At 43.0% G+C, this 25,878-nt stretch overlaps 1 protein-coding gene and 1 long non-coding RNA gene across 4 annotated transcripts in view, besides 2 other annotated features; one reads left to right on the forward strand and one right to left on the reverse strand.

The window, feature by feature from the left end:
• The window catches only part of KIF5C (kinesin family member 5C), a 151,533-nt gene that overhangs the window by 32,614 nt on the left and 93,041 nt on the right, over nt 1–25,878 (forward strand). For both annotated transcript variants that reach the window (NM_004522.3, XM_017004062.2), the window contains exons 2-3: nt 14,297–14,387; nt 21,441–21,514. In NM_004522.3, the coding sequence (NP_004513.1) occupies nt 14,297–14,387; nt 21,441–21,514 (165 nt within the window). The remainder of the gene's footprint in view (nt 1–14,296; nt 14,388–21,440; nt 21,515–25,878) is intronic.
• Nucleotides 1,340–1,634: a silencer, noted in NCBI's record as "tiled region #1843; HepG2 Repressive non-DNase unmatched - State 20:ReprD, and K562 Repressive non-DNase unmatched - State 20:ReprD". NCBI's record gives its function as "represses a minimal TATA promoter and a strong SV40 promoter by Sharpr-MPRA in HepG2 and K562 cells {active_cell/tissue: HepG2 | K562}" and the evidence as "EXISTENCE:reporter gene assay evidence [ECO:0000049][PMID:27701403]".
• On the reverse strand, nt 1,566–19,409 carry LOC101928553 (uncharacterized). Of its 2 annotated transcripts, NR_187658.1 has the most exons (3): nt 18,949–19,409; nt 12,910–13,145; nt 1,566–1,713 (listed from the first exon to the last, which is right to left on the reverse strand). It is a non-coding gene; the product is annotated as an uncharacterized LOC101928553 (long non-coding RNA). The 2 variants fall into 2 exon arrangements; NR_187659.1 differs by lacking the exon at nt 12,910–13,145.
• Nucleotides 18,159–18,783: an enhancer, noted in NCBI's record as "H3K27ac-H3K4me1 hESC enhancer chr2:149683568-149684192 (GRCh37/hg19 assembly coordinates)". NCBI's record gives its function as "activates a minimal SCP1, AML or CMV promoter by ChIP-STARR-seq in naive and primed H9 embryonic stem cells {active_cell/tissue: H9 hESC(naive and primed)}" and the evidence as "EXISTENCE:reporter gene assay evidence [ECO:0000049][PMID:30033119]".

The following is a 25,878-nucleotide window of genomic DNA, read 5'->3' on the forward strand; positions in this document are numbered from 1 at the left end:
AGCGACCCGGGACATACCCGGGACAGTCAACTGGGGCCGCCCAGCAGGCTGTCCAGAGTAAAAGCAATTCCCAGTCATTGGGGTCATCTGGAGATCTATGTTAGAGTCTCCAGACTGGGAGCCCCTGCTGTAGTCCTCGGGCTGTTCCTGTCTCAAATCTGTCCAGCCACTCGGTTGCTTTTGTCACTATTTATGTGAAAAGTTTTGGCTAGCCTGGATTTTCTTTTGTTTCAGCATTGCCCACAAACACCAATGTGGAATTAATCTGGAAAAGGCATCCCAATCTTTACCAGAGTTGAAAGTTGACCTTTTCAGGCAGCTCATATGATTACTTTTAGAAGCACTGTCAACATGCATTTTCCAAAGAAATGCATCAGAGACAGACTAGGTAGGTGAGTCCTGCCTCCCTCCCAGCAAGATCCCACAGTCTGCACATTCTTTATCTCTGTCTTCACCTGCCAGGCTGAGGGTGAAGGCCTTTTCTTCTACCATTAGGGATGATGGAGAACAGCTCTCTCCGTTTATTTAAAAAATATCCTGAATATGCTTTAATTAATCACTCTCAAAGATTTCTCTCCTCCAGACAAAATAAACCTAGGTTCATCCACTCTTGTTTGTTATTTCTAACCCTTTGGTCACCTTAAAGGGCCACCCTGACCTTAGCGTAGTAGGAGAGGGGTTATGGACATGGGCTCTTGTTCTATCCCATTCTTACTGGGTGGCCTTGTGCAAGTCATGTGGCCACTGCAGCCTCAGTTTCTCCAGTATTACCTACACCATGGGGTCATCCGAGGATTCAGTGAGACAGTTTCTCTAGCATGCTCCCCATTGTACCTGCTTTTAGCAGCCAGTAAATACTCTCTGTTACTCTCATTCCCCACTTTGCACTTAGAATCAGTCATAACTGTTTAGTGAGGTACTGATTAGCACTGCTAATATTCTGAATGCTTGCTTAAAATAGAAAAGAGTTACTTTCTATGAGACTTTGCATTTTTTAAAGCTGATTCTTTTTTAAAAAAATTAGACATCACTCTTACAGAATAATAAGATGGAATGAATCCGTGATGTTATCTACATGATGAGGCCAGTATGGCACAAAAGCAGTGAAGTCCCTGAAAATACCAGCCAAATTTCACCTGAGCATATATTATAGAGCTTTAAAGTACCTAGAAGAGAAAAACCGCTTCTTTCCCAGCTTCTTTGCCTCCCAGGCACCACATCACCACAGAGCAGCCAAAACAGAAACCAGATCAGGCCATTCATTTGCTTCAAGGTACGTTACACATGTATGTGCTACCGGGCTTTGCAGCACTGGGCTCTGCCTGGCTCTTCCCCCATCACCCCATTGTACCATTCTGCTCCTTGCTCTCTTCAAATACATCAGCCCACTTTCCAGCAGACCACGTGCTTCCCAGCTCAAGGTTTCACGCTTTTGGTCACCTCTGCCTGCAGTGCCCTGCCGCTGCTCTTCCCGCTGCTGGCAAGCCTCCAGGCTTCTGCTCTGAGGTCACATCCTGGGAGCCATCCTCCTTGACCCGCATATCACAACACTCAGAGGAGTCATCTTTGTTTTGATTGGTTGTTTATTGCTTGTCTCTCTCCACTCCCTCAGAATGAAAGCTTCGTAAAGACAAGGAAACTTGTGGCTCATCCCTGCTGGGTTCCCAGTGTTTTTGAACAGTACTTGGCACATGGAGGATTCTCAGTCAATATCTGTTGAATAAAGCAGTAAGACGAGAAACCCTAAATTTGTAAAACTGTAAGAAAGATGTTTAGTTGTGTGGGGCAGAGGGCTGATTATGCCAGTGTTCATGAGGATGTGGTAATTAATGCTGAGCAGAGTCTGAAAGAGAGCTCTCAGCACTATGGCTATAAGAAGGAAAATAACGTTTCTCTGCTCACAAGAGATGGGAATCACCTCAGTTGCAGAAATTTTAGATTTTGGTGGTTCTAGGTGAATTGGATATCTGTGATCGAGAGTCTTTAATGGTGGGAAATCATGAGCTCTGAAATCAGACCCTCCTGCCTCTCCTACTTATCGCTGTGCGACTATTATGTGTTGTCTCTGAACTCTGATTTCTCCATCTGTAAAATGGATATTATAATGCTAACCTTGGAGCACTGCTGTGGAGATTCATGGTAGTCTCTGCCTGGCACTTGGACCTGTTCAATAAGTGGCAGCTTTAATTTTGGAGTAAAATTTTAAAAATTCTATTAATTCAAAATGTGACATGAAAAATCCAATTTAATTAAACAGCTATTAATGTAAGCACTTTTAATACTTATCATAAATGCTGCAGGGAATCCAAAGATGGGTAAGATAGAAAACATGTCCTTAAATAACTAAAAATCTATAAAAGGGTAAGATAAGTTATAATGTTAATAACATATGTGCAATTTGTAATTTGCAATTTGTAAAGTAATTTTATATGCCTTTTATTATTTGTTCTCACAACTACCATGTGAAGCCAATGTAATACGTGCTTTGTGACCCTGTGCAAGCCATGGACATCTCTGAACCTGACCTTGTCACTTGTAAAATGAAGAGTGGCAATTACATTAAAGAATAGTTGTCAGCAATCTATGTTATGCCCCAGGTAAAACATAGGGTCTAGCATACAAGAGTCAGTCAAATATATTAGCCCTCTCTCACCCCAGTCTCTAACTCTGGATCCTGCATTTTTTCCATGACATGGTGCTTCCAGAGGAATGGGTAGTGTTTTGACAGATAACACGGTCAAATCATTGAGATGGCATTCTAGTTAGAGGGAATCGTCAGAGCAGTGAGGTCCAGTAGAGAAGGACATTCCTGTGGGGATTGGTAGGTCTGCTGTTGCACTAGGGGGATCATATACCATAGAGCATCCTAGCAAGCTCTTTTAGTTGCTGGGCCAGAGGCAGATGGATTTGGCAAAGGATGTGGAGCACATTGGAGAAAAGACAGACAAGTGGATCACTTAGAAGGCCCTTGTACAAGTCTAGGCAAAAAGTAGTAAGAATAGTTGAGACACAAAATGAGATAGATCAAAGAAATGAATGACCACTCTGTGGCAACTGATTGCATGATGGTGGTGAGGGACAACTGTGGGAGAGATAGCTCTGAGCTTTTTATCCTGGATGACTGGGGATAGTGAAAGGAAGAGGTGGAGGAGAAGGAGGCAGAGAAGACAGGCAGTAAGCTCTCTTTTCAACATATATTGTTTAGGGTACTTGGGGACATCTAATTGGAGGTTTTAATTAGATAGTTAACAATGTGGGTTTGGGACTCAGAGTTCAGGATGGACTTTGTTCGTCTTCTGCCTACAGCATGTGGCTAAAACTACAGGAATGTTTGTGCCTTTCCATGTGAGAGAGTATGGAAACGGAAGGTGCAAAAGAGAAGAGAAGAGGCCCAGTGAGAGATCTGGAGACATTCTTAAATTTGGAATTGGCAGGAAGGAGAAAAAGAAAAATTGGCAGTGACAGAGGAAAAGAAGGGGTCAAAGAGGAAGGAAGCTGAGCCAGAGAATGCAGCATCCAGGGGGGCTGCTGAGCAGAGTTTCCACAAGGCCGGGCTGGTGCACAATTCTACCCTTGTGAATATTGAGGATATTGCAGACCATCAAAGTGTCTTAGAATTGAAGATTAAGAGGCCATGAAGCCCTTTAAGAAGGCAGATGAATGAGAGCAAAAATTAGGTGGCAGGATGTGATGGGAGGGGTAAGGAAGTAGAGGCATGAGAAGACCAACCTTCTAAATAGTTTGATAGAGAAAGGGGTTAGAGCTGGGGCAGTAGTTTGAGGGAGGACAAAGAAAAAACTTAAGAGAATAAGAAAACATAAGCATGCTTTACATTGAAAGAAAGGAGCCTGTGAAGAGGTGGATATTGGAAGGAAATCTTGGATGAACCCAGGGCTCCCATCTTAAGGGAGAGGGTGCCAGTAAGTGGCCCTTCAGTACCTGAGCCTTGGTGTATATTAAACAATTATTACCCTAGATTGCTGGGCAAAAGCTGCTTTGGATAGTAGGTTTAAACTATTATCTGCTGGCCCATCCTAGGCTAGTTGTGAAGGAAATGACATTTGCCTGTGGTGCCATCTCCCTCATCACACTGATTTTTCCTGCTTGGCTTGGGAAACCCTTCCCTTCCTCCTGCCCCTCCCTCTTTCCTCCCCATCCCAACTTCACTGCTTAGAAATGAACAATTGGTTTATCTTGGTTCTATTAACTAACGAATCTGATAAGCTAATTGCTGCTCCTAGCAGAAGATTAGAGGGCTATTTTTGATAAATTAGCCTTCTGGAATCATAGTCTTCTTTTAAAAGTTATTGAGTCCATTAGTGGTTCAAATGGTGGAACTTCAAGTCAGGAAGCAGGGGCAGGGGCTGGCAGAAGGAAGTGTTGGGAGAGTTTGTTCTTCAAATTCCACATGTGTGTGGCCACCCAGCTCTTCCAATACCTAAGCGTTGAAAAATATGGTACCCTGTCCTCCAACTAAAATTAGAAATCTTTTAAAAGATGCAATGCTTGTGTGTCAACTACACTCAAAATCACTTTTTAAAGATTTTTGGCTTATAAAATTGTGGCTGAATTCAGCAACAAAAAGTTTTTAAAGAAAAAATTCTATGTGTGTATATATGTTGGAGTCAGGGTCTTGCTCTGTGGCCCAGGCCTTAGTGCAGTGGCATGATCGTAGTTCACTGAAGCCTCAAATTATTGGGCTCACATGATCCTCTCACCACAGCCTCCTGACTAGCTAGGACTAACAGGTGTGCACCACCACAACTGGCTAATTTTTAAAAAATATTTTATAGAGTTGGGGTCTTTCTGTGTTGCCTAGGCTGGTCTCAAACTCCTGGCCTCAAGTGATCTTCCCACTACGGGCTCCCAAAGTACTGGGATTACAGGTATGAGCTGTTGCACCTGGCCTGTATATATATTTTAGTGCTTCAAGTACTTCATCTGCCAGTTGGGCAACCCACCATTGCTACTGTGGGTCAAATGTCCCTTCTCCTGCATGACAACTGAGATGATGTACCCTGGGATGCATGAGCCTTGTGTAGCCCAAGTTCCAGATGGTCCATCTAGATGTAGTTGACTATTAAAGACCTATTTGGAGTTTGCATCCAGCAGCTCTCATTTATAGTGCTAGTGCACTATGTTTGAATGGGAGTGGCATGTTAAATACCCATTGTGATATAGACATCCTGAACTTAATGACTATTGCTAGTTTTGGTTAATGTAATTATACTCATTTGTGGAACATTTTCCTTGTAATTTATGGGAGTTATTTTATCCATAATATGTAGAAGCAAGCCATTGCACTCTAGGTTATATGGCATCATGTTCTAAACCCAAATGTGTGGAATTCTTAGAAAATCTATAGTTGAGGGAACAGTTACAAGATGCAATATGGTGTTATGGGTAGAAGGCTTGGCTGGGAACCAGAAATTCTGGATCCCAGTCTCAGCTCAAAGTTTTGCCTTCCACATGGCCATGGGAAGTTATTCTCCATTCCCAGAAAGTGAAGTTGATATTCTTGTCTGACCCCCAAAATCATGAGGAACAAATGGAACTGAGGGGCCTTAACTTATTATAAAAGTAAAATTGCTGCTCAATACATGGGATAATTATAATTATGTAAGCTGTTTCTGAAGAGTGAAAAAAAGTTAACAAATGTTAATTCTATTGGCAGTAAATATTTGCAGTGTTTTTCAGAAGCCTCTCTATGCATCATACTTAGCCAAGTGAAGGTCTGGGGAAAGCTTTTGTTTTTGATTTTTTAACTAAAGGGAAGAGAACTTTACATGTGTCACCACGTGTTCCCATGTTGGCAGCGCCATCATGAGACTCAGCGTAACTGGGAGAGGTTTGTCGAGCGGCAGTTTGACCGGATGGTACTGCACTGTGCCAGGAAGCCCCACCAGGGCGGTGTACCCCAGAGAGAAGGCTCAGTGCTATCCTTGTTATCTTCCATTTGGCGCAAGAGATCCTCCATTCTACCTTCTGTGAAATGGCTTTTTCACCTCCCATCCAGTGAAGAAGGTTTGTTTTTTTTTTCTTCAGACTTGACTTGGCAGAAAACTTGATCTGCTGAAATAACCATGGCAGCAATTTCTGCTCCTTCCTCTGAGTGCAGAGAACCCGGAGCTCTCTCCTGTTTACAGCTTACCTTCTCTCATGCTATAGGTCAAGGCAGAAGCCATTCTGACGGGAAATCACAGCATTCCTTACCGCTCATTATTGTGATAGCTTGTTAGAGCCAGAACTATTCAACCTTTGACTTTACAGAGAGGAAGAGGCTTAGAAAATATAGGTAAATTGATCAAGGTCTCAAAGCAGGTGAGGGGCCAGTTTCTGGACTAGAACCAGTTGCCTGACTTTTCCTCCTACCCCCTGTAGGTAAGGGTACACAGCAATCAAAGGCGAAAGAGCTTGGGGGTGGGAGAGAAAGGAGTTCACTGTATTTTGATCTGAAATGAAAATCACATACACATAAGAACCTTATTTTTGAGGCACAGGTTCCATTATTCTCTTTAACAGAAGTAACACTTCTGTCTTCTTTATGCCTGTTAGCCAGGCAATGATTCTGAATTTCTTCATTATCACTCGGGCAGTTTGCCTTCTCAGAATGTTCTTTTGTAGCTGTCTGTGATCTTGACAGTGTCTGTGTGTCCACACAGTGGGAATTTTGGCAGAAAGGAAAGAATTCTAGCCTGGTTTCCCGCAGGAAGGCTTACAAGATTCATTCTTGTGTGTTGCCTTTGTTCCTTCTCAATACGTGAAGTGGTTGGCATTGCCTTGGCAACTCCATTAGAAGCCAGTGGCTGCTTTGTGGACATTTGTTTCATTGCAGATTCTCCTGGGAGCAGCCTTGGCTTTGGCCGGAACTGGCACCAGCTGCTTTCCATGCCTTGGGGCATGGAGCCAGTGTGGGGAGGGGGAGGGCAATGTCCAGGGGCAGCTCTGGCTTAGCACTTATACTCCCAGTTACAGCGTCATCCCATGTAGACTGGGCAGGCAGTGGAGTGGAGAGGAGAATGGGGAGCTGGAGTAGAGGCTTCTGCTGACTGGAGATATCAGCATGGCCTTAGGGTCTCCCTGTGAGGCTGCCATTGCAAATGAGTAGACCCTGGAGAGGGTATAATGGTGATGGAAAAGAGCTGGTGGTCATTGCCAGGTATGGGATGTTTTGCCCCAATGTGCAAAGTGGGGTTTTTCCTGCCTTGGCAATTTGCAGGCCAGCTTCAGATAAATGGGAAGGTAGGTAATGGGGTAAAGAGGTAAAGGGGTGTAGAAAGACATAGTGACTTCAGGACTGCTAAAATCTTGGTGGGGAGTAAGAATGGTGGGAAATACGTGAAGTTTCTGACACACTGGAGAAATACAGTGTGCGTCTCCTGTATCGTACACCATTTGAGAGTGGCACCCTCCTCTAGCATCCCTGGGGCCCATCTGGCAGGTATTAGTCATCATTATGATCAACAGACATCTATTGAGCACCTGCCCTGCACCATTAAGGTGCTCTGCTAGGCCAGGGCCTTCAAGAGCCTTTGATGCTTCTAGAATTGTGTCAGTTAGAAACTGATAATTCCCTGGGTGGATGTGGCCCCGTGGGACCATTGCTTGGCAAGTGACCAGCAAGCATCCTTTTATGAAGGAAAAGGTGTACCCCCTTTCCAGGATAGTGTCCCAAAGCCCCAGCTTGTTGAATTTTAGCAAGGATTTCAATTTCCACTCAATTTGTTGGCTGAGCACCAACCAAATGTGATGGCTTCATATTTGACAGTGAAACCACCAGTCCAGATCTTTTAGGACCTACTGAATGAAAGAACTTTGGGAGCAAAATGTCTTGAATTTTGCCTTACTTGGGGCTCCCCCAGAAGCAGACCCTGAGGCAAGGATGGAAGTGCAGGTTTCTTTGGGAGATGATCCTAGGAAACACTGATGAAGAGTGAAGTGAGGCAGGGAAGCGAAGGACCCATATAGAGTGCGCCATCACGTGAGTTCCCACTAGGGGTAATGGGAGCCTCATCCCACTGGGGAGGTCTGGGTGCCAGTTTGGAATACATGCCTCAGGGTCACCCCTGCACTACCACCCCTGGGCATGGGAGCTAAAGTATTGACCCCCCAACTCTTAATAGCCATTGACTAAGAACTGCTGGGGTTGGTACCCACAACATCCCTTTGGCCTGTTGCGGGTGACCAAGAGGGCTCCAGCAGCCAGAAAAGCCTTCAGGTAGAGAGATGCAGGAGCTGACCATGAGAAGTTAGACTAGCCAGGCAGAGAGATGCAGGAGCTGACTGTGGGAGGTTAGACTAGCTTACATGGAAGTGGTGGAGAGTGAGAGGATAGTCAGGCCCCTGACAGCATCTGCTGCAGGTCTGCCATTTGTATTTTCACAGAAGTTTCCAGAGTCTCCAAAGCTGTAACAGTAAAGCTGGTGAGTGTACAAGTGCCTGTACCAGACATGGCTCCTTGCCTTTTGTGAATAGACTTTATGAATGAACATTGAAATTTTGTTTATTTTTAAAGAGTGCAGAGGATGGCCTTGAAACAGGGTAAATTTTTCTGGGGCTCTTGGAAATTAAATGGCCCCTGTGCTCTGTGGAGCTGAGCTCAGGAGTCACAGGCCTGGGGACCTGGAGGGGCCCAAGATGTGATTCAGCACTTAGGTGTCGTGAGGATAATAGGATGTCAAGTTCCTGAGCTGGTACATTGTGAATGACCGTCACTTTTTCATTTCACTTCATTTAGGGGATAACTGCTTGGTAAGTTTAGTGTAATGCAAATGCCTGATGTAGGTTGGTCACCAACTTTTTTTTTTTTTAAAAACAGAATGACACTGACCACATCTTGAGCAAAACTCTTTGTTCATTGGACTAATTAATTTTGTATTTGAAAATAATTTGGAATTGATTGGGAGGAAAGCAGGGGGAAAAAAGGACCAGAAATTCAGGCTTATTGTTTCCTTGACGTTTGGAGAGAGCAAGTGATTTTAAAGTGGAACTTCTAGAGCACTGGATAGGGAGGCAGGAGGTCTGGATGCGAGGCACACATCTGCTGCCTACCTAGCTGGCTGCACGCATGCCATCTACCCTCTCCTGATCTTTCTTTATTTATAAAACATGCTGATGGGTTGAAATGACCTGGAAGGACCTTTTGGCTCTGAAAAATTATACAATTTTAAAAATAACTTCAACTTTCCATAGCAAGCCTTGCATCTGTCTTTCCCTAGCCTCTGATTGGCCTTTGCCCATTTTTAATTCCTTCTGTTGAAAGGAATGCTTGCCATTGCATGCCCTCTGCTTTTTTTAATTTTTTATTTTTTTCCCCAATCTTGCCTTCTTCCCATATCTTCAGTTTTTCTTTCCTCAACGGTTTCATGTCAGCACTACCTTCATGGTTAACACTTTCTTGACTGCCACAGGCTACAGTAGGGATCTCTGTCTTTTGTTACCTCATAATCACTTTGCTTCAGTCTTTCATATTAGTCTTAGCATGTGTTATTGCGGATGTCTCCTGCTTTTCTGGCAAATCATAAGCTTTTTAGGAAACCAGTACTCCGTAAAGGAAGAACCCTTGAAGTAAGGGCCTGGCAGTTATTTCCCCTAAGTAATAGAGCAGATAATATGGCTTGGCCTTAGTTTTCCAGTTTGTAAAATGGGGATAATAATACCTAGCTCATAGAGTTCTTATGAGAATTAAATGGGCTAGAGTATAAAAGGGCATGGGTCATCGTGGTTGGTGATGGTGTTGGTGACAGTGTTAAGGTGACAGCACAGGCTGAAAGAACTTGTCATTTCTGTACTTTCAGGAATGAAATCATATAAGTGCCTGGAACACAGAGTTACTTATTGTTCTCCATAGTCAGTTCCTCTTCTGAATACAGTACTCCTCAGTGTCAGAAGGTAATTCCACAGAGTGAGTTTAAATCTCTCTGTGAAAATTTTAGCCTTTGCTTGTTTCTTTCTTGATAAAGAGAGCAGAAAAATCATTCAAATCATTGGCAGCCTTATGCTACAATTCGTCGTCAGTCTTAGAGCTTGTTATTGGATTACTTCTTAATGATCTCTTCTTGGGGATAATTAATTTCACTTTCCTTAACATCCCTCCTGGTGCCCATCTTCAAAACGTTTATGTGAATCTTTTGCTTTCTGTTGTCTCCCAGAGTAATATTCCTTCCAGGCTGGGAAACAGTTATTGGGTAATGGGTCAAATGTATTAATAGGCAGGCCATATGGTTCCCAGACACCTTGCATTCAACAATTTGATAGAGTTCTGGTGGTATGATTTTTTAAAAATTTAACTATAAAAGTGTAAGAACCATCTGCTGTTATTTTTTGTATGTGATCCTGGTAAATTATTAATTTTAGTTATACTGCTCCTATGTAATTAGCACTGTTCCACATGCAGGCTTCAAGGCAAAGCTTGTATACTTTATTTTCAGTAGTAATGTGTGTGGAATGTGTGTGTCTCATCCAGATTCCCTTCATAAATTGAAACAGGTTTGCCTACATGGGGTTAGGACTTGGGATTTATATGGCTTCTGTTTTAGCTGGTAAAATGCTATAATTGTAGTGGTTAATTAGATTGATTGATAATTAGTCACATACTAACTACTATGGAGCAAACTAATTCAGGTAATGTAATAGAGAGTGATACCTGGGTGGGGTTGGGGCTCCTAGGACCATGAAAACTTTCAGGGAAGGAGAAATTTGAATTGAGTTCTAAAGAGTAGTGATAAGGAGACAGGTAAATGAATATCTGCAGTGAGATAATTCTAAGGGAAAGGAAGAGTTAAGAGCAAAGGCTGTGAACTGGGGAATAAGCATCATACAGAGAAAAGTCCGTGGGGCCACACTGTAGTGAGATGGAGGATGATGCAGGCAGCTGAGGGCAAAGAGGGTCTAATCTAAGAATAATAGGAGCCTTTGGAAGGAATTAGGCAAGGAATTGGTATCTGATTTACAGTTTTAGGAAGCTCATTTTAGCTGCTAAGTGGAAATTTGATAGTTAGGAGCGAGAATTAAGGAAGGGAGACCAGTCAGGAGGTGATAGCTGTTGTGTAGAAGAGACTAATGGAGAAATGATGGACTAAGTTTGCATGGTATAGATGGTGAGAAGTGATAGGGTTTGGGATATAGTTTGGATATGGAATCTATGGGACATATTGAATGGTTCTTAGTTTTCAGTCTGAGTAACTAGGTGATTGGTGGTATAGTTCTTACTCAGATATGGAGGGCTTGATGGCTCTTTTTTGGTCAGTTAAATTTGAGATGGCTCATGGACACCTAAATGGAAATGTCTAGAGGACATGTGAATCTGGATGTTAGAAGAGAGATGAAGGCTGAAATATTCATTTAAATTACATGTAACTCAAGAGTGTAGACAGAAAGGAGGCAGAGGTCTGGGTCTTGAATACACCACCATTTAGAAGTTTGAAAGAAACGCCAGCAAAGGACATTGATGGAGGTAGCCAGAGAGGTTGGAGAGAGCCATGTGCTGCATAGACACCTGGAAGGGACTCGTGTCTCCAGAAGGAGTGACTGGTGACCTCATCATTAGGTTTCAAGTGTTAGTACCCAGAACCTGCATTAAATGTCATTTGAAAAGTGTATTCTGTAGCTGTAAACTCAGTGATGACTAGAGCAAGTTGGGCCCAGTGCATGCCTGGAGAAACCTTTAGCCATGGTGGAATAAAAAATGGGCAATCTTGCCTCCTTGGGGGCTACTGGGGAAGGGTCTTTGTTCAAGTCTCAATCAGGATTTGTGAGATTTTCATACCATTACTAAAGCAGCAAAGAGTAATTAGTGATTTTTTAAAATGGCAATTATCAATTATATATACAGCTGGTACAGCTATGCCCCAAGTCAGTTCTTTGAAAATATTCAATAACTAAATTCTGATCAATCTCTTCCGAGACTTTAAGGTTGACCTAAAATAAAAGCCTATAACTAACTCAGTGCAAGACAGGACACATAAAAATATTTACATTTTTAACTACATAACGTGTTAATCCTGACAAGATAGGTCTCATAACAAATCACTTTCTAAATTTTATCTTTTCTTAGTATCAATCATAATGACTTGAAGGCAACTTCTGTTTGGGAGTTAACTTTAGGTTATGAAGAATCGCTGTATTATCTGTTTGTCATTTGATAAATTATGTTATTTAAATGAGGAATAGAGATTTCTTGCTCTCTACTTCTCTTAAAGTGAAGGCATAATGCATTCTAATAAACATTTTAAACAGAAGGGCAAAACTGAGGAGTCCTTTTTTTTTTGTACCATGTGCTATAATTTAACAGGTCATTTTGTCTGCTGTATTAAGTGTATTTTCTCTAAAACCCAAAGCAGGATCAAGCTGTAAACAAGACGCTTTACTTTGGTGATTCTCATTGTTTGTATAAATAGGGGATTTGTTTTAAATTAAGCAAAGCTACATTTTTGTTCCAGAAAGTTCAATTGATAACAAATACCCAGACAAACTCTGCAAATATTTACTCTTACCTTTTACCTTACTGACATTTAGTTGAATTTTACAAATAGATAAAGCTTAATAAGCATGTAGTAGGCTGATAGTTGGCAATAGACTGTGGTGAGGAATAGTCTATTGGTTATTCAACCAAATCCTTGATTCACTAACTGAAGGAAACTTACTGCAAACAAAACATCAGAAAATGTTCTATTTCTATAATTTTAGCAGAATGACTCTGGTTCTGCTGCTTTGCATCAAAACAAAATTTTATAGTAACTGAAAATTCCCTATTTCTCTAAGACCAAATGGAAGTAGCTCCTTTACCTGGCTGGTGCTATCCAGTTTTCAAAGAGTAAAGCTTAAGGGCTAGGATTTTATCTCCAGTTCAGCTCTACCCAAGTAATAAATAAGTAGAACATTAAGCCATTCTGACAGCTGTGTACTTACTTTGTGTGAAGGTTATAGGATGTAACAAGCCTTGCTCTTGGATCCCTCATGAGCAATTATCTTTTCGAGGAGTCCCACTGTCCTTGGGTGGTTCCTGGTGTCCAGAGCCACACATAGGAGGGGCACAGTGGGAGAAAAGGAGGCTCTTGGCTCTGCTCTCTCCTCCCTCTCATCTTCTGCCCTCCCCTCTGCTATGTGGGGAACATGAAGATGAAGGGCCTCCTGAGTGAGTCCGGCTGTGGAAGAGGGTGAGCATGATTGCCTCCTGCCTGGGCGGTGGTGGTAGAGAAGAGGTGCCCTCAGGATGGGTTCTCCTAGGGAAGGGGCTGTGTCTGTCCCACCCACCACTTCCCCAGCACTCAGCACTGTGCCTGGCACCTAAATGCCCAGTAACTCCTTATTAAGCATACAGTGATTGGGCGTCAGGGCACATATAATGCACGGTGGAGTTTCTTCCCTTACCTCTACTAGTTATTTCCTTGAAACACACACATTTGAGCATCAAACCAAATCCCAAGACCACACACCTGGGGAAATCTCTTGATTTACTCTACAGAAGGGCTCTCTTTGTCTTGGAAGCCTCAACCCAGTTAAAACATCACTTGTGCATGAGAAAGAAAACACAGGAATTCTTTTGGACACAAAGCAATAATATCTTTCTAATAAGAGCAGCTACTTAAATCTGTTTGTCCCATCTTCCCATTGGCTAACATTTAAGCACATCACCTTGGCTAACTGTGCCCTGCATGAATTGGCTCCTGATTTTCTTGCCCTCCAGTTCCTTGAACAAACCAGGCCCTTTGCTGTCTGCTGGGCTTCTGCCTAGGATGCGCTTCTACAGCTCTTCAGGAGCCTCCATCTTCCCGATCCTGTAAAGATACACTTAAGTGGTCCTTCTTCACCAGGCTTTCCTTGCCCTCTCTAGCATTCCCTCTGTCCCACTGTTTTAAACCTAGGCATTTTGCGTTTTCCTATGTGTTTGCTTTCTTGCTTATTAGCTATCTGCTCAACTTAATTGAATGATTCACAAGAGCAAGACTGTTTTGTGATTTTTTTTTTCAGCATCTAGCCCAGTGCCAGGCTCTGTGTAAGTGCTCAGTAAATATTTGTTTGAATGAATGAATGAGTCTCAACCTACCCTTCATTTAAAAAGTGGTTCAATTTAAATTTTTTTAAAATCTCAGATTCTCAACATACAGTGCACATATACACAATGCATGTGTGGTTTATGCTGTAAAAATTCCCTGCTCTTGGTAATGAACTGCCTTAAAGAACAGGGTTGGTGACTTAGTGCCTATGGCCTAGCTACTAATGTTTGCGATTTTTTATTCCTAAACATCTAATGTGTTTTTTCCACCTTTTTCTTCCCTTTGTCTTTCTTTTTTAGCAAGGGAAGCCATATGTCTTCGACAGAGTGCTACCTCCCAACACGACCCAAGAGCAGGTTTACAATGCATGTGCGAAGCAAATTGTCAAAGGTAAGTGCTATTTCTTTATTTCCTCCTGGGCCATTCAGAGTAATTGAAAGCATTAAGTGATATTTGCAGCCTAGGAATCAATGTGCCTTGACTGTAAGCAGAGGCCTGCTAATTGGAAACACTGAATTCTATAGCCTCGGTTCTAGCCCTGATTTGCTATGATGTCAGGCAAATTATTTAATCTCTCTATTCTCCCTTTTCAAGGACATGTCTTTATTTCTTTTGCCACCTTTTTTATTTTGTCACCCAAAAGCTTAAAAGCAAGGTAAGCTGTGTTCACACTATTTCTGTAATAATTTTAAAACACTGGCTGCAGGTATGGAACCTCCTTTTTCCTTTGAAGGAGAAAATATATATTCCTGATGCTCCAGTTGTACATCTTTGGTTGATTTATTCTGTGTGTCTGTCTCCCTTTTACTAATATCTCTCAGCAAGAAGCCTTAAATATGGAAAATTTTTGCCATTTAGAAATTTTCTACAGTGTCATAAAATCACATTACCGTGTTGGTTATTGAGCTGGTCTTGCCATTCAGCATTCCTTAATTATGCTTTCTCCTAACCCATTTTCAACCATCCCACCCAGATCCTGACATTTATTCCTCCAAACAGGTAGCCTCAAGCCTACATTTACATCTTAGAGATCAGTCCTTTTCTCTAGGACTGGCATTGGCCCTGGAGGATTCATGTCAAAATAGCAGCAGGGAGATGAAGCAATTTGCACATTGCTCTACCTTGTCCTTTCAAATCAGGGGCAGGTTGAAGCTTGCATTGGCAGGCTTGCCATCTGGACAGAGCTGGGGGGCATCTCCTGCTACTTTGCTTTTCATCATCAAATCATTTCCTTCAAATGTGAATGCTGTGGCAATTGTGCTTTCAAATGTCTTGATGCTGCCCCCTGTATAGGCAGCTCTGGATTTAATAAGCAAGAAGTAAAAACAAAACTAAAAAAACCTACCATGTCACTTTGGATCTGCTTGTTTTTAGAAGCTGACTAACCTAAGTATTTGAAATTCATGAAAATCAGCTCTGGGTACATCTGTTCGTTTAATTCTGACCCTGGACACCTGTGTGGGAGATGCATGTCAGCATGTAATGTTCCTTGCTGAGGTGGATGGTTATTCACATTCTTGCTGCAGACATCAATTAATTTTGAAGGTCTTCACAGTGAGATTTTTATAGAAACCCAATGAGAAAAAAAATATGACTGAATTCGAGCTCTTTCTGAATTAATAGTATGGACCTATATCGGGTGGTAATTTTTATCTTCTCTCTGCTTTTACTCTTCTGCTTCTCTTTCTATCTAAACATGTTTTCTCTGTTTTTGCAGTATATCTTTCTTGGTTTGCTCCTACTCAGCCCTGCTCCCTATTATTCGACTCATTCATATATTTTTTATTAAAGTAAGATTAATCACATATGTGCCAAAATTTCTTTTTCTCTCCCCCTTCATTATCACAAACAAATAGTATTTACCACATGCTGTGCTAAACATGAGGGCCATTTAAATACATCCTGTCCTCTCTAAGCTGACATAATTAGAAATGGATGCACTCTGTTAAAAAAAAATCCTGTGATTAACAACCTGTAGTAATACTCTTTGAGTCTTTATTCACTAAAGAAGTTTGGGCCTCTTTCAATGTTCGGATTTCTCTACAGTATGAAATGTCAGAAATGGGCAGGTCTTGTGAAGATATGGCCTAACTCTGGATAACTTGAGACCCAATATGTAGTGAGCTATAAAGAAAACCATCTAGCAGAATAAAATCAGGCGCTGACATGATATGACTAACAGACATTTCTAGGGTACCATAAATATGTATGATCATACATACATGCCTTATTCTCCCTTAAAAAGGAATTGATGAAGGTCTGATTGGATTTCACAAATATCCACTGAGGCTAGTGTGAGAAGTGGCCATGTATTTCAGAATCAGTAAGCTAAAACATAGAGGTACAAGAAAGAACTCCTTGGAACAGATGATCAAGTATAGCTGAGGTATCTCTTGCCATGAGTAACCCTATTTAAATCAAGATTGGGAGGCGGTGCTGTGGAGCCCTTTTTTTCTAGAGGCTAATAATTAAATCAGATGATTTCCGAAGAGCACCATAGTCCCCGTGATTCCTGATAATGGGTGGACCAAGGAGCATTCCTTTCAAGTCCATCTAAACTCTTAATGATTTGGAGCATCTGGGAGGCTCCATTTAACTCGATGGCTTTATTCTCTCTCTGGTTTTTCATTCCCTACCACTTCACTGGGTTAAAAAAAATATATTTTAAATGTTTGTTTGTGGAGTCCTGGCATCTCTCATGCTCCCATCTTTGTCTGGTGTTTGTTTTTCAAAATTTTGCTTGAAAAAGCATGTAGAATTCTCCTCCATTTCTTCTCAAAGAGGTTGTAGGGTTTCTGACTACCAGCACAGTAAATGGGAAGGCTCCTTTGGACGCCTAGGAATTAAACACCATGGTAACTGGATGCTATTATTGAAGTACTGTAACTATGTCCCAGCCTACAGAAGCCACACCAATCATTTGCCTTCCAAATTAACTAGATACAGATGATCCAGATGCTAGAGAAGGGGAAATTTCTTGTTTTCCAGTTCTGATTCCTTTAAAATTCATTCATTCAGTTGTTTCTTTTAATCATTCATTTCTGTAAGTAGTAATAAGTACTTACCGTGGGGTAAGCAGTGCTGGGACTGGAGTCGCCATGCTATGTAAGACTGTCTGCAAGGAGCTTTGAGTACAGGGAAAGAGACAGATGTGTACATAATCATCACACACATAGGCATTATGTACTTTAGAAAGGGTGTATGCAAAATGCCACGGGAACACAGAAGAATGTCACTTGTATTGATTTTGATTGGGAGAGGGAGTGGAGAATTAAAGAAGGTTTCTCTGAAAGGTTGGGTCCTGAGGACTATAGAATATAGGAGGGTTGTACAAGCAGAGGGGATTTCAAAAGTAAAAGCATAAACACACAAATTCTGCTTGGACAACTTGGAGCGGCACAGGGTGCAGAGTGGCATTATGGGAGATGAGGCTGGGACATTTAGGCTGGAGCAATTTGATGGCAATGGATGGACTTTATCCTGCAGACAATGTGGACCCAATGAAGAGTGTTAAGCTTAGGATGACATTATCAGATCTGTTTTGTTATTATCTTATATATGACTCTGAAGAAAAAAAATATTTTTAGCTGTGACTTATCAGGCACTGTCTATATACTTGACATATGTTGTTGCATTTTAAATCATAACAACTTTCTGAAGGGTGAGCATTATTTTCCTCATTGTACAGAAGAGGAATTTGAGGCTCAGAGAAGTGAAGTAACTTGGCCAGGTTGGTTCGGGGGCCATGGACTGGGACTCAAGCCTGGGCTTGTCAGACTGACTGACTGATATTCTTCTGTACTCCCCTGCCCCCCTTTCCTGGTGGGCACACAGCTAGCATTTGATGACAATTATTTTATGAGTGGTCCCTGTTCTGTCAGGCCATATGGACTATTATCTAAGCATTGCAAAAGACAGGGCTAGGAATGGTGTGGGAGGAGGGTAGAGAAGAGGGGACAGGGATGGTGGCTCCTACACCTTGTGATGGCCCTGGTGGCCTGCCAGTGATGAGGTGCGTTTCCATTCTGAAGATGCAGCATGCCCTTGCCTGGGCACAGGGACTGCCCTTTAGGCTGGCCAGCCGGCATGCGGGCTGGCCTCAGGTAGTCAGCAGGACCGCCTCATCATCCTCTGATTATGGCCTACCTGAGTGGTTTGGTGACTGGTGAGGATGGCCTGTCAGCCACCATCACCAGAAACCCTACAGGCCCCCATTTCCCCTGGAGAGTCGGTAGGAAGCCCCATGCCTCCGTAGGACTACTGATGGGTAGGTATGATCACATCCTCCCCCAATTCTAATCTGAAGATGGCACTAACTCTTTTGCTTTAGCAAGACCTGGATTCAGAACTGAGCAAATGGGAGGCAAGGAGCATTTTAAGTATCTACTGCTATCCTTCCTCCTCCCCTGGGAGATGAGAAGGCTCTGGGCACCTGCAGTGGAAGCTCCTTCTGGGGTTCATGCGGCTGCGGGATGGAAGAGTGCTGTGGCCCCGGGGTGCGGCGGGCTATGCTGTACCAGTGGAGGTCACATCACACCAGGCACTAACACAAAGAAACTTTCTGTCTGCGGAGCGTGGCTGGCATGTGGAAACATTGTTTCTGCAGAGACTCTAAAACAAATGCATTCCGTGGGCCCAGGAGCGGGCACTGGACGTGATGAAAGTGCCTTTTGTGGGCGCTTCTGTGGGAGTCGGATGGAGGTTGGCGTGGCCCCCGCAGTGCGGAGCGCGGCCTGGCCTTTCCTGCTACGGCTCCCCCTCTGCCTGTGGTCGCGGTGGCCATAGAAACGCGCTGGGCTCCTGCTCCACTTCCTCTCTCTGCCTTCCCTCACCAGCAAATCAAAACATAGACTGAGCAAACAAACAACAAACAGAAAAGAAGCCCCCAAAACCTGGAGTTTCGAAGAAAATAGAGAACACTGGCTTCAAAGGGCCTTTTCGTTTAAATTACCTTCTAGTGCAGCAGGGAGCCGATAGAGGGCGACGTCGGCTCCCTTCGACCTTGATCGCTGGAGAGAGGTTCTGCAGCAGTGAATGAACTGTAACGTGATTGTAAATACTTTCAGTACTTTCAGGGCCGTGATTGTAAATACTTTCAGGGCCGAGTGGAGTTTGTTCTGGTGGGGTTTTATGTGTTCTCCTTTTCTTACAAAAAAAGAAGGAGAAAAAAAATAGTGTTCAGTGACGAAATGGCAGCAAGAAACAGATTCTCCAAGTACAGTCTTGCACGCTCCTCAGCTCCTTAGTCCAAAACAAGTGAAGCCACGGACGAGCTCTGGTTTTCAGGTGCTTGACCCAGTCCTTACTGGCAGGAGTTTCATGAGCAGCGATGGAGTAAGAGTTAGTGGGATTGTGCCTTCTGTTTAGTGATGGACCCAGAGGCGTGGATGAGACCCGGGAGGCCTCGGGTGTGGCCTAATTCAGGAGGAAGTTGAGCTCTGAGCTGTTTCCTTGGGTGTGGCCGGTTGCTCAGTACCACCTCCCTGGGGCCTCCTGCGTGGGAACATCGGCCCTTGCAGGGTGGCTAGCAGAGGTCAGGATGGCTGGACCCCTGGCCCTGGCAACTTCGGTGCTGTTCTAACACCTAGGCCGGTGGGTTCCAGAGTGTTTCATACACAGAGGCTTAAGACAAGGAAAGCCCTTTCAGGGTGTGTGTGTGTGTGTGTGTGTGTGTATAGGGGGGATGGTTAATTTCTAATAAATGGTAATTTCGAATAAATGGAAACTGTGATATTGTGATGTAGCCAGCATTCCAATAGGCTGGAGTTTTTTGTGTTATGAATATGGCATTTTTAAAGTTTGACCTAAGGGTGGGACCTTTTTCCTTTGGGTCCCTCAAAGCATATCATATTCATGTTAGTGTAGAGGTGCTCTGTCTGCTCTGGCCTAAGGAATCTTTTCTTGGAGTAAGTTGGCATTTTTGTGAAAACTGAAGCTTGAACCTCCAAACCTTACACTGACTACTTCAAGTTTTTGCTTCCCACTGTTAGCAGGGGAGCCATTAGCCGAAATCTGATATGTATGAACATTCTCTCTCCCTCCTCTTGCTCCCCCTCCTCTCTCTCCCTGTCCCTCCTCTCCCACCAACCCCCAATATAGCTTGATACAAACTCTTGAGGGCTGCTAGAATTAAAAAAAAATCCTGCCACTTAATTTTTCTTTTCTTACCTTCCTAAAATAACATATTGCTTTTTTGTTCTTATCCCAGTTCACACTTCAACAACCTCAGATCAGTCAAATGTTTATTAAAATTTTTTTAAAAAACATAACAAATCAGAATTGATATAGAAAAAAAATTCAAAAAAGCAAACCTATCAAAGCAAAACAAAAACAAACCAGCATCATAAAATTCAGAGAACCCCCTCTACCATGCTCCCAAAAGAAAAACTCTATTTAGAGCCTGAAGTAGATGGAGCTGATTGCCTGGCTTGGTTTTTTACATGACCCTGAATAGGACACCTCAGTGTGGGGTCCTTCTCCCTGCCTCTACAGCTTGTGCAAATGAAGACTTCCTCCCCTTATTCGGAATGGAGGATCAAGGATATTAATGATGCATTGTTCCTCTTCCAGTGATATTTGTGAGGATGAAGGAGGAAAGCAGGAGAGAAATGAGTGCTAAATATATTTTAATCACCTCTGCTGCTTTGAAAGAATTCCCACAGATAATCTTCAGCTCTTCAGCAAAAAGCAGCCTCCACCCTCGAGCCTCCCCTTGTCCCTGTGTGATGTGGCACCGACCTGCAGTGTGGAGGGGTTTGCACAGTGCTCTCATTGTGTAATTAAAAGAAATTTCCTGATGCTGATGGGCCTGGGCTGGCTTGTTAGCACTATCAGTGCAAACACAGAGACATTAAATTTAAGTGAGGGCCCGGCTAGTTTCTGGGCTGATTGGATTGTCATCCTGAGGCTCTGTTTATAGAGTGGGGCCCTTTTCCTCCCCCACCTCTGGACTCAAGGAGCTCTTGTGGGGCTTTCAGGAGAAACCTCCCCAAGGAGCTAGCCTGGGCCAGCGTTTAAACTGACCCAGATTAAATCTTCAGGAAAGAAATTCTGTTCTTCATCTCACTCCAGAAACAGGGCATAAGAATAATGTTTTCTTTTTCCCCCAACTGATCTCAAGAGATCAACTTATAGAAGAAAACTCAAATATCCTTCTACTAAAAAAAAGTTTTCTGCTCGATGTCTCTATCTTCCTTTTGATGTCATTGGGAGAAAGTGTGTCTGCCTCCTTCTTCATTAATGTATTCTGTGAAATGTGAGTCCATTTCTTTCCATTTGTAGAACAACAGAATTTTCTACTTAAAATTCACATGGAGTTGAAATATATCATTTGTATGAAAAATGAGATGGGCCATTTGGAAAATGTAATTTTAAAATATGCAACCTACACCAGCATATGATCAAAGTAATGAGTTAATTTTAATTTCTTTTTCTTGTTCACAGATGTCCTTGAAGGTTATAACGGGACGATTTTTGCGTATGGGCAGACTTCATCAGGAAAAACCCACACCATGGAGGTAAGATTACAATGTGCTCTAATGCGAATCTCTGAGATGACTGAATGGAACTGACGTTTCCAGCAAAACTTGAGGTGCATGTGGCTTTCTTTACTGGGAAATAGAGACGGTTATGTTTGGCCAATTAATTATGTCTTTGAGAAGTTTTAAAATAGCAGCAAAAAATAAAGTCTCAGGAATTCAGTATTTTAAAAAGTACTTTATTGATAACTTTGTGACAGTAACAATACATTCTATTCAGAAACAATCATTGATTAGCTAAGCAGTAGTGTGAACATCATTCTGGACTTCAGCCTCATTCTAACTGGGAAAGCCTGTTGGGAAAATCATTTACCCTGATGAAGGCCCCCGGGGAGGTTCGTCTCTTAGAATAAATAAAAAACTGTAGGTCAGAGATTTTTAAAAGTTGGCTTGTGGGCCACGTTCAGCCCACAGACATATTTTTGTTTGGACTGCACGGTATTTTTTTTTTTAATAGTAAGCAATGTTAAAAATTGGATGATTTCACACAATTCAAATTTTCCATCTTAGGTTGAATATTCTGAAGATCTGGCAGCACTGGGTGAATTTCACCATAATATAAAATTCAAGCTTCACTGTTCACTTCATTGTCCTGTTCACCTTTTTGTTAACATTTCTAGTGCAGGGAACAGCTGCTGTCACCTAGGAGAAGTTTGGTAAAATATTTGTTAGTATTTGTGAAAATGGTACCTGTGGTACTGGCTCTGGCCACCCCACGTACATGGGGCTGGACTCTCCATTGTACTCACACCCAGCCCACTTCATGCACACTGGGGTGAAGACGAACTTATATTTGGCATCCTTCCTTATTGACTTACATACCTGCTCCCTGAAGGCACTTCAGGGTATGACCCCAGCTCCAGTTGTTGGCTGTGGAATTTTGTGGCTTCAGTCTGTTTTCCAAACAAGGCAGGTCTGCAGACAAAATTGAACCTCTTTGCCTCCTCTTTTCCTTTTTTTTTTTTCTTTAAATCACCAAATCCTATAGGGCCTTCAGAGCCTGATAATTCTTCTAAAGGTGAGGCCCACTTGATAGGTAAGGAGAGGTGGTAAGCGTGGTTATTATAAGAAACTGCACAGAGGAAGTTTGGGGAATTCAGCAGCAGGGTAAGATGAATCCTTAATCCTTCCAGCTTAGTGTTTTTCATTTACGATGCCCTCCTGGGAATAGCACTGAGACGGCTGCTGCAGAATCGGTTTAGCTTATGAATCATTCCTATTGAAGAGGAGATTTCAAAGGCACGAGGCTAAAATCCTCAGGGCTCTGATGTTCTGCTCATACTGATTTCAAGTGTGGGGTACAGTGCCGGGGATCTCATTTCTGCGGTGTTGACTCTCTTTCACCTGTTTTGCTGAAGACAAAGTGGTTCAGAGACTGCACAGATTAAAGGAAGCATGAGGTTTATTTATCACTTCTTTCTGACTAAGCAGGTCTTTCCCCTGACACCTGAGTGGCATCAGCCCATCTTCTCCTCCTCTCACACTCTACTGCAGAACGTCTTGGAAACGCCACCCTGCTATCCTCACGCTCCTGTCCCGGCCCCTCGCCTTTCCCTCTCTTACTAGGCCCCCGACTCTTGACCTTGAGACTATAGAAAAGTTGCAGTTCTACATTTCCTGTGTCCCACCTAGTCCAGTACCTGTAGACAAAAACTCCCTCCTAGGTCAGATGACACTTGAAAGAGAGATACGGTGTCTAGTGAGGAATTCAATCAGTCTAGAGGTTTTTTTGTTTGTTTGTTTTGTTTTATTACCAAACTATATATAATGCCAAACAACAACAACAACAACAACAAAAACAAAAGCAACCTGCATTATTTAAAATCCCCCAAAATCTCTTGGAATGCTTACAATAGTGACCTTTTAAGCTTTGGGATTAGAAAATATAAGGTACTTGCTAAATGCCAGAAATTTAAGCTGTAAGACATCAAGAGAGAGAATGCTCCCCAGTGTAAAATCTTATTTCCGGAGAAGAGATGGATGTAGGGTGATGGCAAAGAGCTATGCCCGCCCTTTAAAACTAATATGGGAGGCCAGGCGTGGTGGCTTACACCTGTAATCCCAGCACATAGGTCAGGAGTTCGAGACCAGCCTGGCTAACATGGCGAAACCCCATCTCTACTAAAAATACAAAAAAATTAGCCAGGCGTGGTGGCGCACATTTGTAGTCTCAGCTACCCAGGAGGCTGATGCAGGAGAATTGTTTGAACTGTGGAGGCGAAGGTTGCAGTGAGCCAAGATTACACCACTGCGCTCCAGCCTGGGTGACAGAACAAGACTCCGTCTCAAAAAAAATAGTAATAATAAATAATAAAATTAAAAACCAAAACCAAAAACAAAAACTAATAGAAGAGATATTTTGCTAGAGGCTCTCAAGCCCTCTGTGTCTTACAGTGTAAACTTCACAATGCCTGACCAGTGAGGACTCATGGGGGACCTGAAAGGAACTGGGTTCTGGACAGGTTTCACCTCCGGTTGCCTCTTCATCTTTGTCAGTTTTAAAAGGTCAGTTGTAATGAGTTGCTTTCCTTTATTGTGACTTTTGCAGATCACATACTTGTGCCTACAGTTAGAAATAGTTGATGTGGATGGGAGTTTTTTCCTAGTGCCACCCACCCCCTCACTTAATCGAGTTCTTTCTGTAGGGTAATTATAGATTGGAGAAAAGGTAGGGGATATTTTCAGAGGAAGACAGAGGGAAGGAGGAGCCCTAAGCTGAAGTCATAGATACTGCGAGAGACCAAGAAATCCAGGATCCTGGAATGCAATTAAGTCAAAAAAGCCCTACAGGGTCTGCATTCTCTGAAAGGAGGATTTTATGTATTCAAATTACACATTGTGATCTTCCAAAGGCTTTCGGAAGGGGATGTTAACTCCCTGAGTGTCCCTGAGTGGAAAGAGAGGTCACATTTTAAAGATGTTTTTCACTTTAATCCCCCTATTTTTGGTCTGACATCCAGTGGTGATTCCATTACCTTGTATTGAGGGGAACAAACAGACAAGCCTACATAAAATTGGAAATATTAGCTTCTCAAGATGGAGCATTTAAGGTAGGTTTTCAGTAAATATATGACTCACTGGACAGTGTTAATGCTAAGCTCGGTGGACACCACCACACAGAAGGTCCTGGGCTTGTGCAGCCCATACCCAGGGTTGGCGCTGGGGAGGACACAGGGGGTTCCAGCTCCAGCTGAGGAAAAAGAGACTGTTCTTTTGTTCTGTGAGTGATGCTGGGAAGGGCCTCTCCTGGCCCCGTGCCCTCCTTTGTGATCCTCTTCTGCACACTGATATAGATGGATGGAGACACCTTGTGTTTTTTCTTTCTGCCCCAAGAGACGCTTGGAGGTCATCTGAATGGTACAGGCTTCCCAGCCGTCCCGCCAAGCCTGCCAAGTGATTTTGAACTAATCTGTCTGAACGCACGGTGCTCATGTGCTGACGGGCTGATGTCTTAAGTGTTTCAGGAAACTCTGCCCTGCTTGGGAGGTCAAGGAGGCAACTGGGGCTGGAACAAAGAGAGTCTTGTTTGGTGGCTGGTGGCCTGGGTCTTGTTTCTTCTTTCATATGTGCTCCTAAAAGATCACATTCCGTGGGAAAAGTTTGCGGATAGAATTATACAGGATGCAGTTATAAAGATCTTTCTCCTATTTGCTTTCCGGGAGAAACAAGGTGATGAGGCAGTGGATTTCTTTGCTCCCCAAGTTCATGTTTGATCCTTTAGCTAAAATACACTTTCACTGTTCTTTCTCAGTTCCTGTACTTGGTTCTCCCACTCGCCTTCTCCGCCCACATCCTCTCTACCCATCCCTAAACTTAACCATTCTTCAAGATTTGGTGTCCCTCAAGCAAGCCATCCCATATTACCCATTTTATTACTGGAAATCTGGGACATTTCTAGTCTCTGAATTTCTATAGCTCTCGGCTGTTATCCCACTTCTTACTGCCCGAGGCAACTGTGCATTGTGTGTCTGGGCTGCGCATCTCATCTGCAAGGGTCAGTGTAGAAGCAGTGAAGACCTCTAAGGAGCACCTCACTCTCATACACACACAGAAACAGCACACACCACATTCCACCCCCCCCACATACATCGTAAACACACACACAGACATATGCACACCACGCACATATACACACAGACACACCACACACCACATACCATACACCCCCACATACATTGTACATGCACACAGACATATGCATACCACACACGTATACACACACAGACACGTCACACACAGACATACCATACACCACTACCACACCCCACATACATTGTACACACACACAGACATATGCACACCACATACATATACACACAGACACATCACACACAGATGCACCA

The sequence above is a fragment of the Homo sapiens genome, chromosome 2 (genome assembly GCF_000001405.40).
Source record: "Homo sapiens chromosome 2, GRCh38.p14 Primary Assembly".
In the NCBI taxonomy this organism is placed as follows: domain Eukaryota; kingdom Metazoa; phylum Chordata; class Mammalia; order Primates; family Hominidae; genus Homo; species Homo sapiens.